General features: G+C 40.1%; 1 protein-coding gene across 3 annotated transcripts in view; it reads left to right on the top strand.

The window, feature by feature from the left end:
* The window catches only part of RSU1 (Ras suppressor protein 1), a 226,814-nt gene that overhangs the window by 111,587 nt on the left and 97,223 nt on the right, over nucleotides 1-18,004 (top strand). For 2 of the 3 annotated variants that reach the window (NM_152724.3, NM_012425.4), the window contains one exon: nucleotides 10,683-10,815. The exons of the other annotated variant lie outside the window; for it this stretch is intronic. In NM_152724.3, coding sequence (NP_689937.2) covers nucleotides 10,683-10,815 — 133 coding nt within the window. The remainder of the gene's footprint in view (nucleotides 1-10,682; nucleotides 10,816-18,004) is intronic. 3 annotated transcript variants of the gene reach the window in all.

Raw genomic sequence — 18,004 nt, 5'->3', positions numbered from 1 at the left:
AGCATCTCTCAAAAAAGGATCAGCCAATAAATAAATACAATGTGTGGGGGCTGGATGCAGTGGCTCACTCCTGTAATCCCAGCACTTTGGGAGGCCGAGGTGGGCTGATCATTTGAGGTCAGGAGTTCAAGACCAGCTTGGCCAACATGGTGAAACCCCATCTCTACTAAAAAATACAAAAATTAGCTGAGTGTGGTGGCACTCGCCTGTAGTCTCAGCTACTTAGGAGGCTGAGGCAGGAAAATCGTTTGAACTGGGAAGCAGATGTTGCAGTGAGCTGAGATCACGCCTCTGCACTCCAGCCTGTGTGACAGAGCGAGACTCTGTCTCAAAAAAATAAATAAAATGCATGGGGAAAAAAAACAAAAATAGCAGAACAACAATTTTAAAGATACATATTTTAAAATATAGTATAAAATCATTTATGTCACATTTACATTGTATTATAAATAATGTAGAGATTATTTAAAACATACAGAGGATGTGTATAGGTTATATGAAAATTTACACTATTTTATATGAGAGACTTGAGCATCCGTGGATTTTTGACATCCACAGGGGTCCTGGAACCTGTCCCCCATGGATACTGAGAGATGACTGTATATACAGTGGAATATTAGCCTTTAAAAGCAAGTTAATTTTGACATATGCTACAACATGGATGAACCTTGAGGAAATTATATGAAGTGAAATAAGCCAGTCCAAAAGAAAAAATGCTGTGTTATTCCATGTATATGAGATACTTAGAACAGTCAAAATCACAGAGATAAGCGGAATGGTGGTTGCCAAGAGATAAGGGAAAGGAGAAATGGGGAGTTATTGTTGCATGGTTTTAGAATTAAGGTTTTACAAGATGAAAAAAAGTCATGGAGGCAGATGGTACAGTGGTGTTTGCACAAAATTACAAATGTATTAATATCACCAAACCATACCCTTAAAAATCATGAAAATGATAAATTTTATCCTATGTGTATTTTAATGCAAATAAAAAGTGGGGGAAAAATTAACCAGTCAACTAACAAAAGCAGAGTATTTTATTTTTTTAAAAATAACCAATTTAAAGTAGAACCAAAAAAACTAATCAAAAAGAAAAGAAAGTGTATTCACCTAATGCATTACCCCACTAGGGTGTTTTAATTTAAAAATAAAATTTCTGCAGGTAATAGGGCTTTCAGCCCAAAGGGAATGATTCTGATGACAGAATTCTGGGCCCTGTGAGGGAGGTGAGTGACTTGTTTTTGTGTATAACTCCCCAGTGCTCCTAAATCATCTCACATTATTGATTATACCAACAATATTCAATACCTTTTGAAAGGAGGGAGAAAATCTGTTAAGTGTCATGTACTGGAAAGACCAAGGCCTCTGAAAGAGCCAGATAAATTGGTTTTTAAATACCTGCCTGGCTGCCTACTAGTCACATGACCTTGAGTATGAATCCTAAACCCCCAAAATGGTAGTTGCTGCTTCTTAATTTTAAGATGAGATCATAATAATGCCTTCCATGCAAGATTATTGTGACACCCTGGAATAATGTATGCAAAGCTCCTGAAATGACACCTGGTACATGGTACATGTATAACAAATAAAAACCAATATTATTATGATAATGATGATTCTCCAGTTGGTAGGTTTTTATCCTTTGTAGAACTTGTGATAGTATCTAAAAATTCAGATTTCTTTTTCAGTACTCAAAATAGATTTAATTTTTTCTTTTATTTAAAATTTTAAAGTTCTAATGTTAAAAATTTTATCCTTGTGAAAGAAAAGGGATTTTCTTTTAGAGTGTGGTCCTTCGACCAGAAACACCATCATCCACTAAGAACTTGTTAGAAATGCAAACACTAGGGCTTCACCCAAGACCTATGAAACTAAAAACTCTGAAAGTTGTAGTCACTCTGTAAAAAATATTCTGATGCACACTCAAGTTTGAGAACGCCTGCTTCAATAAATCTGGGAAACAGAAAAGGGTAGCATTTATGATCTGTCATCCAAAAATAACCACTTTAAATTCTGAGATTTTTTTCCAGTCTTTTCTCTGTTCATATGCATATACACTTATATGTGTATTTCTTCTAGTCTTTTTCCTATACACCTGTGTATATATTTATGGTGTTTTAAAAAGTTAAGATCATGCTGTATAAGTTTTACAGCCTTCATTTTGACCTTCAATATTATGTCATGACCATTGCCCCATGTCATTAAATTTTATTTGAAAACATTTTTAATCATATGGCTACATATTATACCATGCTCTGAGTGTCTCATAATTATGAACCAACCCCCTAGACATCTGAGTTGTTTCTAGTTGTTCAGAAGGACATAAGCAACACTCAGTTGAAAATCTGTATTCATAAATCATTGTTAATATGAGTGATTATTTCCTCCGCATAAATTTATTACTAGGGTGGAATTACCAGGTCAAACAGTATGAACATTTTTACAACTCTTAATAGAAATCGCCAGATTGCTTTTCAGAGAAGAGGTGCCAGTTTGGATTCTAACCAGCAATGTAGGGAAAATGTTTGTCCATTCCTCTAACACAACCAACGCTGCTGTATTAGTCTGTTCTCGCACTGCTATAAAGAAATGCCTTAGACTGGGTAATTTATAAAGAACAGAGGTTTAATTGGCTCAGAGTTCTGCATGGCGTATAGGAAGCATGATGCTGGCATCTGCTCGGCTTCTGGGGAGGCCTCAGGAAACTTAAAATCATGGCAGAAGGCAAAGGGGGAGTGAGATGACTCACATGGTGGGAGCAGGAGCAAGAAAGGAAGTAGGGAGGTGCCCCACACTTTTAAACAACTAGATTTTGTGATTACTCGCTGTCACTAGAACAGCACCAGAGGGATGTTGCTAAATCATTCATGAAGGATTACTCTTATGATCCTGCCACCTCACACCAGGCCTCCCTCCGACATTGAGGTTTGCAGTTCGATCTGTGACTTGGGCAGGGTTGCAGATCCAAACGATATCATTCTGCCCCTGGCCCCTCCAAATCTTGTATTCTTCTTACATTGCAAAATATAATCATGCCTTCCCAACTGTCCCCCAAAGTCTTAACTCATTCCAGCATTAACTCAAAAGTCCAAAGTCTCACCTCAGACAAGGCTGGTCCCTTCCACCTGTGAACCTATAAAATAAAAAATAAGTTTGTTACTTTCAAGATAGAGTGGAGGTATAGGCATTGGGTAAATACTCCTGTTCCAGTAGGGAGAAATTGGCCAAAAGAAAGGGGCTACAGCTCCCATGGAAGTTCAAAACCCAGCACGGCAGTCATTAAATCTTAAGACATCAAAATTATCTCCCTTGACTCCGTGTTCCACATTTAGGGCACTCTAATTCAAGAGATGGCCTTCCAAAGCCCTGGATGGCTCCCTGTGGCCTTGCAGTGTTTAGCTCCTGTGACTGCTCTATTGGGCTGGCGTTGAGTGCCTGCAGCTTTTCCCGGTGCAGGGTTCAGCCTGTCAGTGGATCTACCATTCTCTGGTCTAGAGGTTGGTGGTCCTCCACTGATAGCCCCAGTAAGGCGGTTCCTCAGTGGAGACTGTGTGTCTGGGCTCCAACCCCATATTTCTCCTTCACACTGCCCTAGTAGAGGTTCTCCATGAGGGCTCTGCCCCTGCAGCAGGCTTCTGCCTGGACATCCAGGCTTTTCCCTACATTCTCTGAAATCTAGGCAGAGGCTTCCCGTCTTCAATTCTTTCACTCTGGGATTTGCCCAAGTCAGTGAATAGTTCTTGAGATCAGGAGCCAGATCCACCAGAGTTTTGTCCATTATGTCCTAACATTACCTGAGCAATAAAAAGGAAATCTGGCAAGGAAAAACAAGATTGCCTCCCACATTTAGAAGAATGATTGAGAAATCCTAAATGAATGCCAGGTTTAAAACATAAATTATTTACTTAACAGCCATTTCAACTTGCAACATAAGGCAACCTTGGAGGTGACTGTTGAGGATGGCACTGTTCTGTTGCTGGTTAATTATATTTATAAGCAACTGAGAGCTTCTTCTATCCCTTCTTAACCTGGACCACAGATATCAAATGGCCAAGAAGAGCATCAGATGGAAGCAATGTAAAATGCTATTTTTCTTCATTGGCATAAGGACTTCTGGGCCTCTTCACACCAGCACACACTTAAATCAGGTGCTGCTTGTGTTGGAACTATTTGGTAGGGTGGTGGTTTTCTCTTTTTAAATCTTTTTGTGTGTGTGTGTGTGTGTAAGTTGTACTATCTTCCCCGACTAGATCCGAAGAGTAGCCGTTTATTTTAGTATGTATCTTAAAGCAGCAATGCAATGCATGCATTAAATGTACAGAATGCCTCTTTTAAAAATGTGTTGCTGGAAAGGCCAAGCAGACAGTTGCCGGAATGACAGTGTGGCCTTGCATTCCCCACAGAATAAATTTGAGAGCTGTCATGAGACATCCCAGCTTACATTGCGTTGATGATGTACAGAAAGAAAAGCAACTTCAGACCTAGATTCTCATTCCACTTAGGTTTTTAGACCGTCATCTATTACGCAGACAGAAGAGAATGGGCCACAAGCGTGATGTTCACTGCAATAGGCTATACTTAAATTAAAGGATACTGTTTTGTACCAATTAGTGTGCACCATGTGCTTTTAATTTGTTTTTGACCATTCCCTTTCAATGTACTTTAATCTTTTTTAATTATGAGAATAATCCATACTGTTAACATGGAATTCTCCAAATCGGTAATTAATGTTTATCCTTTGCTCTGCCAGTTCAACCTCCTGCCCTACCTTAATTTGAGAAAACCAACATTAATATTTCCCTTATTTGAGAAAATCAACCTTAAAAACTTAATATTATCCTTTTCTTCTTTTACACATAAACATTTAGTCATATACATATATGGATTTCTACTGTATTTTTTCAAAAATTGGTTGATAGCAAGCTTGGTAGATCCTCATTGTTTTAATTATAGTTACAGACCTCCCTCCAGGTCAGTGCATACAAATAACTCTGTTTTAATAACTGAATAGCATTTCACAGTATGGCTATAGCACATTATTCTGCTTATCACCTGGTAATGAAATTTCCGGTTGTTTACAATGTTTAGTTACTGCCGACACTGTCTATTACAATATGAGCATTTTATAGGCCTTCTGATCATTTTCCACTCAGTAAAGTGTGTTCCTAAAGAAGTGAAAAAGTAGGAACTTTCCAGAGTCGGCCACTTGTCTGTAATCATGCACTGCTATAATTAGTAGCCTAGCACATGATAATGAGAATTATGGAGACTTATGTGTAGAATCTTTGTCTATGTGGGAGAGTCCCTAAATGTAGCTTTTATTTTGTATCGGAGTCATTTGTGGTTAGCTTCCATGTGAGGATTCGCCGCAGAGAAGAGGTGATCTTTCAGCTGTTATTATGTCCCATCTCGATCCTTTCTGAGCAAATCAATTGCTTGGTTTTGGAGAAATCTAGTATAGTAATGATGGGCTATACCCAATCAGCCACTTTTTTTTAGTTTTACCTTGTTAGACCACAATCTTAGATATTTATGAGTGAATGAGAGAGCGTGGCTTTTGGAGTGCATTAATTTTAAAAAGCTCTCTGTGGTACTATTTTGAAATTAGGAAGGGAGGGAATGCTACTTTGATGACGTGAAAAATTTGCCCAGATCGCCTCGATTGCTTACTATGTGATAAATGGTGCCGCTAGCCACATGTTTCAGGATTTTGAATACTCAGGAAGAATTCTTAGAGTGTGATTATGGAAACAACCAATTTCCATAAGTGAAAATGAGCATGCTTATTAATGGGGCTGCAATTGTCTATTGCATTCAGTCACATTTATAACCAGCAAGGAGAATGAGTGTTTTGCATGATTTAATGTTTACACAATTGCAGTTGCATGGCAAAGCTTGCTGTACTAGAGGCTTTGGAAAGAAGCATATGTGGTCGTTTTGCAGGTAATAAAATGGAAAATCCAATTTGCAATTGCAGAATAAGCCTCTGAGTGATATACGATCTTCATAGCAGCATCGGTCAGAGGGTCACTGCTAATCACGGCGCTGCCTGGCTTCCCCAGTGGCCTGCGCCTTCCAACTGAGGAGTGAGCAAAGTGAATCTGTGTCTGGGAGCCAGCCAGCGTGTCTGTAGATGCACCACTTTCTAGCTTATTAGATCCTCTTTGTCACAGTGCTTAATCCTGCTGCCTGATCCTTGTTAGAACACCACCAGAGCGCCGCTCAGCCTTCTAATAAAGGGGATGGGTGAGGGCTCCTAACTCAACGCACTGAAGCGTGTGGCGTCAGAGCGATTGCAGGCTGACTGACAGCGGGGTGAGATGCTTCCTGCATGTTATTACTTAAAAGGGAACCTACCTCCGACAGCTGACAGACGAGCTCTGCCGAGGCAATGGTAACTTGTTGCTAGGCCAATATGAGTCGGGTGTCATCTTTTCACACAATATAATGGCCAGCTTTACTCTAATTATATTAACCCTCTTCTGAAATTGCTTCATCCCCAACTGGTGCAGAGTGAGGCAAGAGAACCCAGAGACAAATCGCTTGCTGGGAGGGTTGCAGCGCTACAGAAACAGGTATTGTGTTATCCACCGGTGACATTAAGTTGAAAAACAAAACAAGCATGCCCTATTACAGCAAGTCCCAGTTCTAACTCCAAAGAGACATTGCTCTGTTTCGCTCGCGCGGTTTCCATTTCTGTCATTTATAATAGTTTCCTCCTTTAAGGTTTGCCACGGACATTATACCTGGGTTTCATGGCTCTTTGTTAAAAAGAAAGACCAACATCATACAAGAAGCTTTTTTCTTTTCTTTTTTTTCCCCAGGGAACCCTAATCATTCTTTTCTATTAGGCTCTTAAGTTCATGTAGCTTTAGGAAGCACTTGGGGATTTAATTTAGTAGCATTGCTTGATACTGAAGTAAGTAAATGAGGGTGGGGAGGGTAACCCAGTCATCTGTACCCTCCTTGCCACTCCCCATCCCAGCTAAAATATGCAGATGGGTTGGAAGTGATATAAGTGAAGATGATCGTGAATAGCCTGTGGTCCTTTCTGTTAACTCTGACTTGTAGACATCAGCGTGTGACTCCTTTTCCCTTAAGGGAGTATGTCTAGCTTGCATCCAGCGTCTCCTGTGTGCTCCAGTTAGCAGCCATCATTAGCAATCTGTGATGCCTCTGCCGTCTCCACTGACAGCACCTAAATAGAGACATCACTTGGGATTGACAGATCTCCAGGGGGTTACAGGCTTCAGACAAAAGGGCCCAGAGAACATGGCTGACCTTTCTTGGCATTATTCTCCTTCCATGAGTGGCAGTCAGGGAGCATAGAACTTTAGTACATTATTTTCAGAGGATTACCACTGAAAAGACTGCACACTTAGTAAGATGCTGTTAATAAGTTAACAAGAGGCTGTGTGCGTTCCAGAGTGGTTTTGCAGGCCGTCAGTAGTAGAACACGAGTGCTTCTTTCCCGCAGAAATACGTCCCTATTCCTTAAGTTCAAGGAGGGGTCTTTAAAACCAGCTTTACTCATAACATACCTTCAGTTTCGGATGATCGAGCAAGGCTTGGGACTCGGCGGAAGGGAGCTTGTGATGCAGGCTAGAAAAGAGGAGTCTCTTCCCCTCATTATCCCAAGCAAGTCTTCCCAGGGAAAATTTGAAATAGCTGAGACTTGTGTGTGTCATCCTTCCCGGATCCTTTCCCTGCTCCACGTTGTTCTCATGCTTGCCAAGGGCCCTGAAAATACAGTGTGGTGAGAAATGCTGCTCTGTGCCCAAATGTAGCTGACTTCCCTCCTCTTCTCCCTCTTCCCAAAGTAAAAAAAAAAAAAAAAAAAAAAAAAAAAAAAAGGTGTGTTCCTGCAATCACCCCTCTGAACCAGATGTTAAAAGCAAAGCAGTTGTGTAAATGATTGAAAATCCTGGACGCTTCTTCAACAGAGTAAAATTCTACCAACTAGAAGTTCCGACTATATTTCTCATTAGGATAACCAATTTTGCAGAAGAAGGAAAGATATTTAGGGGAAAATACTCACTAACTAGAAAATCCCCTTAGCTTAGGAATTCATTTCTGTGCTATTCCATAAATATGTAGTTTATACTTTTCATGGCTTCTGCTGCTTTTTTTTCATCTACTTTGCAATACACATATTTTTTCTTTTTCTTTTTTTTTTTTTAAGACAGTCTTGCTCTGTTACCCAGGCTGGAGTGCAGTGGTGCCATTTCGGCTCACTGCAACCTCCGCCTCCCAGGTTCATGCAGTTCTCCTGCCTCAGCCTCCCAAGAGGCTGGGACTACAGGTGCGCACCACTGTGCCTGGCTAATTTTTGTATTTTTAGCAGAGACTGGGTTTTGCCATGTTGGCCAAATTGCCTTGTGGTCTGGAACTCCTGACCTCAAGTGATCCACCCGCCTTGGCCTCCCAAAGTGCTGGCATTATAGGCATCAGCCACCACTCCTGGCCAAGAATACACATATTTTTTCCAAACACCTCAAGTTTATTTTTTTCATAGTTGATTCATGCTGATGTCTGTGGGCAGAGATTAGAGGCATGAAGATGACAAGATGTAAGCATAGGTTGTTTCTCAGGTGAATGTTTTAAGAGAGATATATTGAGCTGCAGCACTACCATTCCCAGCTGATGAGGGCATTGCTGCACCGTGGTCACTGTTGTCCAGTTTGTAACCCCTTCCCTTACTAGTCCTGCCTCCTGTGCACAATGGGCAACATACCATCGTGCACATAAAATACGACACATCAGAAATAGACTTGTTTTTAAAGGGATGGCTTCTTTCCAGGAATGTATATTATATTCATTTTTAGGAAAAGGAAAAATTAGAGAAAAAAACCATGAAGGAATTATATGGAAGACAAGATAAATTGAGTGCAGCAAACTAGATTTTAAGAGGAAATAAGAATTATAGAGAAATGTAAACAAGGGGTCAGTTTCATTCTTGGGACTCTAAAAACCCCCTCCCTAAGTAAAGATAAAAACAAAGATCAATGGCAGCCCCTTGCCAACAAGATGAAACCCAGGTGAGATACTCAGCTAAGCAGAATGCATACCACCCCTGGGTTTTCATTCGCCCTAGGCAGCTTTCTGACTCATGGTTTAGAGAATCAAGCTCACTAATTTCCCAAGTGACTTAATATCTGACTAACGATGTTTAACCATTAAGATGAGGAAATTGACAATATTGATAATCTTGGAGAGAAATGGATCTGCTTATTTTTGTACCAAGCGCCAACAAATTCTTAGTAGCTTTGGAAACATGATGAATTACTCTCTCTTGATATTTAGTAGTGTGTATTTTCTTAAAAAGATTTTGTGAAATTGTAGTCGTTTTTCTTTTGTTTTTCTGAATAGTTGCAAGTTCATAGAACAAAAAGGAAAGATTCAAAGTATCTATTATTTTGTTTTAACAAGCAATATTGCATTATCTTCCTCATAAAAAAATTCATTTATCCTTTCATTTCCAAAGCTCAGATCAGCTAGGCAATGATTTGCTTTGTACTTGCGTCCCAGGATATGTTTTCATTGTCCTGAGTTACCATCTATGAAAACATAGGCAGTAGAACCTGGGAACAGCAACAGCACGTAACTTCGGTTGTGTCTTAGCAAAAATCTTTGCTGTGTCTCTAGGTTCAAACAGTACCAGGCCATGGATGAGAAGTGTGAAAATTGATTTCCTCAGTAGGACTTTTAGGGACAGACCTTCACATATATCCCTGCTGCCTAACTTCTCTTTCTCTGCTTCTTGCTTTCATAGGCGAGCGCATTTTAGGAAGTTCTTTCACACTTTGCCTTTTCCATTTTTGAATATATCAAAAAGAAAAAAAAACAGTCAACTGGTCATTAACAGAGGATATCCAGATGAGGGGTGCTTGCTGGCTTTTTTATGCTACCTTCATTAAATCAACCTTATCTAAATTGATATGTAACCTGATGGCCTCACCAGACACTGTAGAAGGTGTATGAGATTGAGCATCAGCTTGAAATCTTCATGCTGGCTTTTTCTGATCTTGGGCATATTAGTTAATTTCCTTAAGTTTCCATTTCTTCACCTATAAAGTAATATTAGTATCTGACCTTCCAGATTGCTGGAGAATGAAATGAGGAATGATTTTAAAAGGTAATTAGTCTTTATCACTGCCATGTTAATGAGATTCATTTAGGGCTGATTCCGAGATGTGCTTATGCTCTTATACTTGAGTAACAACGGTTTGGCTTGGGTAATATTCCTGTCTTTCTCCATTCATACGCTGTCTTGATTGGTGAAAAAAGTGGTGTTGATCAGATTGGGCCCAGATCAGCCAGGACAAGGCATGATGCATACTGACATGGTCAAGATAGAATTTTAAATGGTTTTCATATTATCACTTCTCTTAATTTTGAACAAGTCATTTTTGTCTCTGCAGCAAATACCTCCTTCCCTCTGCTCTGCTTTCCTTTTCCATCTGTCTTCTTTCTTCCTTCCTTTGTTCTTAATTTCTGGGGCCAAGGTACTGTCATGACTGTGTACCTGTGATGACTTGGGTTAAGAAATTTAAAAGACATCAAATGATCCAAGAGGCACTTAGGGTTTGATTTAGGGTACTTAGGCTGTGATTACTGAGAAGGACTTCTTAGACCTGATCTGTATTGGATGAAGTGACCTTCACTTTTTTTTTCCCCCCCCCCAGGAAACTTGGATTTAACTGGCCAGAAGCAGGTATTCAAAGCAGAGAACAATCCCTGGGTGACCCCCATTGCAGACCAGTTCCAGCTTGGCGTGTCCCATGTTTTTGAGTATATCCGTTCTGAGACATACAAATAGTAAGTAGACTCTGATTTTCTGAAATAGTAGACTGTGATTTTATAGTATTTATAATTACGCCTTTAAAAATATTATGTGACAGTATCCTATTGATGGCAGTTAGCACTTAGCATTTTAAGATGTTTTATTAAAAACTGCATGTCGGCCAGGTGTGGTGTGGCTCACAGCTGTAATCCTAGCATTTGGGGAAGTCGAGACTAGAGGATTGCTTGAGCCCAGGAGTTTGAGACCAGCCTGGGCAACATAGCAAGACCCCGTCTCTACAAAAGAAAAAGAAAAAGAAATTATCCAGGCATGGTAGTGCATGCTTGTCATTGTAGCTATTCTGGAGGCTGAGTTGGGAGGATCACTTGAGCCCAGGACATTGAGGCTGCACAGAGTCGTGGTCATGCCCTGCACTCGAGCCTGGATGAGAGAGCACGACCCTTTCTCAAAAGAAAAAAACAAGAAAAAACAGCATGTGGTCATTGTCTCTATTTGTAAATTGTTTTTTATTGATATTTTCAAGGGGATTTTTACTGATTTTCTTTAGAGAATTTTTGAGGTATTAAATTAGTTGAATATTCATGGCACTAAGGAAATTCACCATTCAGATCAGAACATATTTTTTTTCTTCTGTGAATGCAAAGAATTACAAGTGTTCTGAACAAAATTGTTAAGCAGTTTATTTATAAAATCAGTAGAGAGTACTAGCAATGCGTCATTCTATTATAGAGAAGCTTGTACTGTAGTGAGATGATAATCTCTTAGAGAAAAGGGGAAGGCAGGAGAGGAAGCGGAATCTGCCAGCTTAAAGTCACAGCATCCAAATACCTCAAGTCCTCACTCCAGGTGAAAGGAGTCTATGCAAAACTGTCCCAAAAACCTCACGATTCCTGCTTCTTTCTTCCTCCATGTGTCAAGGTTGAAAGGAATTCTGCCACTTCCACGTGCTTCTGTTGTTATATGTACCGTCATTATTTTCCTACCTTATCCCAGCCCCCAGCTGCAAAACAAACTGTCATTTATCAAATACTTGCCTGACCCCAAATGCTGAGATCTAGTATAATTTTAAGCATATACAAAAAAGACAAAAACATCCCTACTCAAATGTAATCTGTTTTTGTGTCTGACATCAACTTTTAAAATTTATTTTTTAATTAATTAATTAATTTTTTTTAAGAGACAGGGTCTCACTGTATTGCTGGGCTGGAGTGCAGTGGCACAATCACGGCTCACTGCAGCCTCAAGCGCCTGGGCTGAGGCAATCCTTCCATTTCAGCCTTCCAAGTAGCTGGGACTACAGGAGCACACCACCATGCCCAGCTAATTTTTTTAATTTTTTGCAGAGACGGGGTCTCCCTTTGTTGCCCAGGCTGGTCTCAAACTCCTGGTGTCAAGCAATCCTGCTTTCATCTTCCAAAGTGCTGGGATTACAGTCATGAGCCACCATGCCCAGCCTGGCACCAACTTTTGAGAATCTAACATCCCAACTATTGGAAGAAAGCTAGAAGATTGCTAAAGGTCACATTTAGTTAAGAGTTTCTTTTCTTTTTTTTTTTTTTGGTATCAGAAATATGTCCCACACTCAAGAAAACCCTGTGAATCTGTGCCAGGCCAGTGGGTCGGGATTGATTGGCAGGGCAGAGCCTCTGCCCAGAAGTGGCTGGCTGCATTTCTGCAGTCTTGCAGCCTGAGCGCCATGCTCCTGGTCAAACATTTAGCACTTGCTGTGGCCATGTTTCCACCAGACAGAAACAGAGAAGACAAGCTGTAAAGAATAATGGCCAGCCGGAGCATGGTGGCTCACGCCTGCAACCCCAACACTTTGGGAAGGCAAGGCGGGTGGATCACTTGAGGTCAGGAGTTTGAGATCAGCCTGGCCAACATGGTGAAACTAAAAACACAAAAATTAGCTGGGCATGGTGGAGGGGCACCTGTAATCCTAGCTATTCAGGAGGCTGAGGCACAAGAATCGCTTGAGCCAGGGAGGCAGAGGTTGCAGTGAGCTGAGATCGTGCCACTGCACTCCAGCCTGGGCGACAGAGCAATATTCCATCCCAAAAAAAAGAAAAAAGAACAATGGCCTTAAAATGAAATACACTAAAATTGCCAAAATGATACCGTATCCTCCTATATAAAAGCAATGTAAAGCGTGGTTTAGATTACTTTAGACAATACTATGACACTTACAGTATAAGTCTAAAGACTTACCTTAAGGATAAAATGAGATAGGTATAGGATGTGTATTAATTGTTTCATAAGCCATATAGATATGTACAGTTATTACAGATTCAATTTTTTTTAAAAAAATACGAATGTAGCTCACCCTTAGAAATTAGTTAATTATGAAAATGTGTGAAAATATAGTCACAAATTAGCAGATGATTGTTTATCTTCTTCTTTGTAAATTGTTAATCATTGCTATCGTGAGTTTTAGATGGGGCTCTAATTTTTTCTTAGTAAACAGGAAGCTATTTAGAGCTTGGTTTGTATGGTATCTTGAAAAAAGTCATTCTGTATATGATAGTATACAGAAAAATGCATGAACAAACTCCTAGCCATCTGGAATTAGAGGAAATTCTCTGTTTATTATTCTGGTTAACAATTTTTAGTTTTCCATAGATCACTTTATAATTTATAGAGGATGAGAATACATTGCATATGAAAGTGCTTTTAATTTTAAAAGATTAAATTGTGAGTTTCTGGATTTTGTATTACCTCAAAGTAATTATTAGGCAATTAATCACCATTCTGCACTGTTACAGACTATTTTAACTGATTTGAATGTGGTTAGGATTCTGGATAAATGAGAGGTATCTATAACATAATTGGTATATCTGTTTTTATGTCTGTTATTAGCATCCTATTTTGGGGGGTTGGCGTAGTCTAAGCAATGTGTCTGCTAACTTTTTCTGTTTCATTTCCTCATGGAGCCTTGGATTACCTTTTATGCAGTTAAGTCAACATTAAAAAGTTTCAGTAGGCTGGGTGCGGTGGCTCACGCCTATGATCCCAGCACTTTGGGGTGAATTGTGGGGTGATTCACCATGAGGAGGGTGAATCACTTGAGGCCAGGAGTTCAAGACCAGCCTTTCCAACATGGTGAAACCCCATTTCTACTCAAAATACAAAAATTAGCCGAGTGTGGTGGTGGGTGCCTGTAATCCCAGCTACTTGGGAGGCTGAGGCAGGAGAATCGCTTGAACCTGAGAGGTGGAGGTTGCAGTGAGTTGAGATAGATGGCGCCACTGCACTCCAGCCTGGGTGACATAGTGAAACTGTGTTTCAAACAAAAAAAAAAAAAAAAAAAAAAAAAAGAAGCAGCAGCTTCAGTAAGCACCGGAGAGCCATTGCCTCCTTTCCACGGGGACCAGCTGGTTCCATAACAGCTGCTTTTAGGGGCATCTACATGATGCTCTGCTGGGAGGTCACAAGGTACATGAGCTATGCTAGGGCAGGGGCCTGCTGTGAGTTCTCTTCTGTCCTCCTTGGGAAGGAGAAGAAGGTTGGTTACTTTGTGTATTTCAGTTTTTTTGTCCTTCTGTCATTCTCCTGTAGCAGCTGTCGTCACCCCTTTGTCAAACATACTAGCCCAAAATATGGACTGTTAGCTGATAAGACAATAAGTCAAACTCTTAATCATTAAAAAAAAAAAAAAAACTGCACAAAAATGCCGCTATTGTGTTTCACCAGATTAACACAAACTGATTTTCAAAATTAAGGGCCTCCTTTATATGAATAGATCTGTATTATATTAAGTATATCCTCATACAATTAGAACCCAACTCAACTCTTTGTGTGAAGCAGCCATTTCATAATTAGGGGATTTTTAGTATCCTATCTGAAAAATATTATGCGAATTAGCAGGTATTTGGCTACTTTTTAAAAACGTTTTACATGTGGCAGCCTTCAGGGGAGGCAGTTTATTCATGATACTCATAGTTTTTTTAAAAAAGCAAATTTCACATTCATTGCCTTAGTTTTTGATCTTCTAGTCTAAAACTTATTATAGTTCCTAATTTTCACTTCTTTGTCTCTGTTGTTTAAGCCGCATACTTCCCCTTTATTAAAAAGAATCCTTACTTATATATTTATCAGTGTCTGTGTGTTGCGGATGTGTATTTGTCTATCTTTAAACTACCATGAAAACATACTTTTGGTTTTGGCACTTAAAACGCCTATGAACCTCCTCCTCCTTCCCCCACCCCAACCGCTTTTTTCTAACCAGTTAACCCATTACCTAAATGAGAGGAATAAAGAACTAAAAAACTTACCGGAATGTTTTCTTTTCATTCATGTCTATGATCGGCGTTCACAGTGACCTTCCTCAGAGCACGTCCTCAAGTTCTTCTGAGTCTAGGGCAGAGAGGATGGATGATCTGATTTATAGGCTCTAATGGACTCCAAGAGGAGACATGGATACTTGAAAGAAAACAATGAATTCAGTGTGTCAACAGAATTAAAATACTTGGAGATGACTTAGCTTCATGAAGATGGGAACTTGTTCCATTAAGCAGGAGGGGTGTGGCTGGTAGGATGGTGAGGTATAGTTCTTCAGAGATTGCTCTTTGGAGTAACATTCTGGGCATTAATCACGGCCCCTTCATCATGTCTCAGGTGGAAGCTGCTGTCTCTTCATCTTTCGTGCCTTCCACAGGGGAACTTGTTGGCTGATGTCACTGAGTTGCCGGTTAACATGAAATTATGAGCTTGGTTGGGTCGTTGAAGCTTACATCCTACATGCTCCACTGTGTTTTTAAACTGTCGCTGAGTTATACAATTACCTGTTAACTCTTTATTTGATGGTGGTTGTCTCTTCGACCTCTTTTATTTCTTTGAAGCAGAATTATGATGGAATACTCATCACTTAAGTTTCCAGAAGGTAGATTTTTTTCCCCCAGGAGAGGCAGTCAAGTTGAAGTCAGCACCCTTGACAAGATTCTTTGTGAAAGGGGGTAACTCACACTTTGCACATTTCCATCAAGGAACGTGGATACCAACTGCAAGCCATTTTAAAAGCTGACAAGTTAACTCTTGTCAACAAGTTAACAAAAGAGGTTTGACAAATGTTAGGCTGGAAATGCTTCCCTTGAAAGAGGTATTTGGCAAACAGGCGTCATCATGAAAACTGCAATTTGCCAAGCATGGCAGTCCTAAAGCCTCATTTCCAGCATGGCATCACTCACAGGATGCTTCCTCGTCATTCTGCCTGTCTTTTTCACCTTTCTTTTCTCTCTCCGGAAAAGTTCCCCACTCATTTGTGTTTTGTGTGTTCCGTTTTTTTAACCTTAAATGAAAGACCAGCCATACTATTATTCATATTAGTTAACAAAAACATTTTAACAAAGCAGTCTTTGGTGAATGGTGGGAAACCATGAGATAAAAGCTGAGAATTCCTCTTTATTAGAAATCTAGCCAAATAAATCATCCTGTTTGATTTATAAGGAAACATTCTTTTGGCTGTTGGTTATTGTTTTTCACATTGTTTTACTTGTGGAATTAAAGCTAATTAATGTTTTATTTTTCTTCTGCATGCTGTGCAAACCTGTTACAAGCTGTAATGGACGTACATGGGCTTTATTAAACAACTACTATATCCTCTAGTGACTGCTGAGTCAGTGGCCTAGAAATTCTTTAAATAACTTCACTGATACAACCAGTCCACCACAAGGCTAGGGCATTTCAAACCTAATAGGTGAGCCCATTCATTTTAAAACAGCCCTTCACTGTAGGAAATTATCTCTAAGAAAAACTTAATAAACATCTGATGAAGTATAAATGGGTGCACAGAGCTAGCAGGTGATTTTATAAATATCTTCACAAAGATGGAGGAGAGGGTTAAATTTCCAGGATCTTTCTAGTGGTTAGTAAATTGAACATAGTGACAATCAGTATGTAGAACAATGTAGACTCTTCTTTTTCATTGCTGTATCTGAAAATAGCTCAAATTAAGCCACAGAAAAACAATTTCTGTGTAGTAGACATGAAAATGAAGAACTGTTTTTCTTTAAAGCTTTTTTTTTTTTTCCTTAGGGACACAGTATCACTTTGTCACCCAGGCTGCAGTGCAGGGGCACCATGATAGCTCACTGCAGCCTTGATCTCCAGGGCTCAAGCAATCCCCCTGCCTCAGCTTCCCTAGTACCTGGGACTACAGGCACACACCACAACGCCTGGCTAGTTTTCTATTTTATTTTTTTGTGGAGACTGGGGGTCTTGCTATGTTGCCCAAGCTACTCTCAAACCCCTGGCCTCAAGAGATTTTCCTGCCTCAGCCTTTCAAAGCGCTGAGATTACAGGCACGCACCACGGCACCTGGCTTTTAACATAAAGGTAGTTTTTACATTTTACAAGTTGACTATGTATTCTCTTCCTGGTGATATATATTTTCTTCATAAATGGTACATATTTGTATTATTTTTTCTTTTTTTGAGACGGAGTCTCGCTCTGTCGCCGAAGCTGGACTGCAGTGGCGTGATCTGGGCTCACTGCAAGCTCCGCCTTCCGGGTTCACGCCATTCTCCTGCCTCAGCCTCCCGAGTGGCTGGGACTGCAGGCGCTCGCTACCACATCTGGCTGATTTTTTGTATTTTTTTTAGTAGAGACAGGGTTTCGCCTTGTTGGCCAGGATGGTCTTGATCTCCTGACCTCGTGACCCGTCCGCCTCGGCCTCCCAAAGTGCTGGGATTACAGGCCTGAGCCACCACTACTGGCCTATATTTTCTTTTTTAAAGTTGAAAATGCATTATCACATTTTATCCATAATATGTGATTCAAAGTTTTGGCATCTGTGGACCTATTTGCAAGAAAATATGTTGCATTTAACCAGTATTGCTAAAAAGTATCAGAGAAAAGGGAAACCCATATAATATATTTGGGGTATATTGTGTCACATCTCTTATTTCATGTTAACTTCAATGATAAAATTAGGTAGCATCACATTTTAAAACACAAAAAACTCCAGAATGTTTATTCTACTGAATAAAAGTAAGCCAATATGTAATACTAACTTTTGAAGGCTGGGTGCAGTGGCTCATGCCTGTAATTCCAGTACTTTGGGAAGGCGAGGCAGGAGGATCACTTGAGCCCAGGGAGTTCAAGACCAGCCTGGGCAACATAGTGAGACTTCGTCTGTACAGAAAATGAAAAAAAATTAGCCGGGCATGGTGGCACATGCCTGTAGTCTCAGCTACTTGGGTGGCTGAG

This window comes from Homo sapiens, chromosome 10 (assembly GCF_000001405.40).
Source record: "Homo sapiens chromosome 10, GRCh38.p14 Primary Assembly".
Lineage (NCBI taxonomy): Eukaryota > Metazoa > Chordata > Mammalia > Primates > Hominidae > Homo > Homo sapiens.
This window is presented reverse-complemented; position numbering and strand designations above follow the sequence as displayed.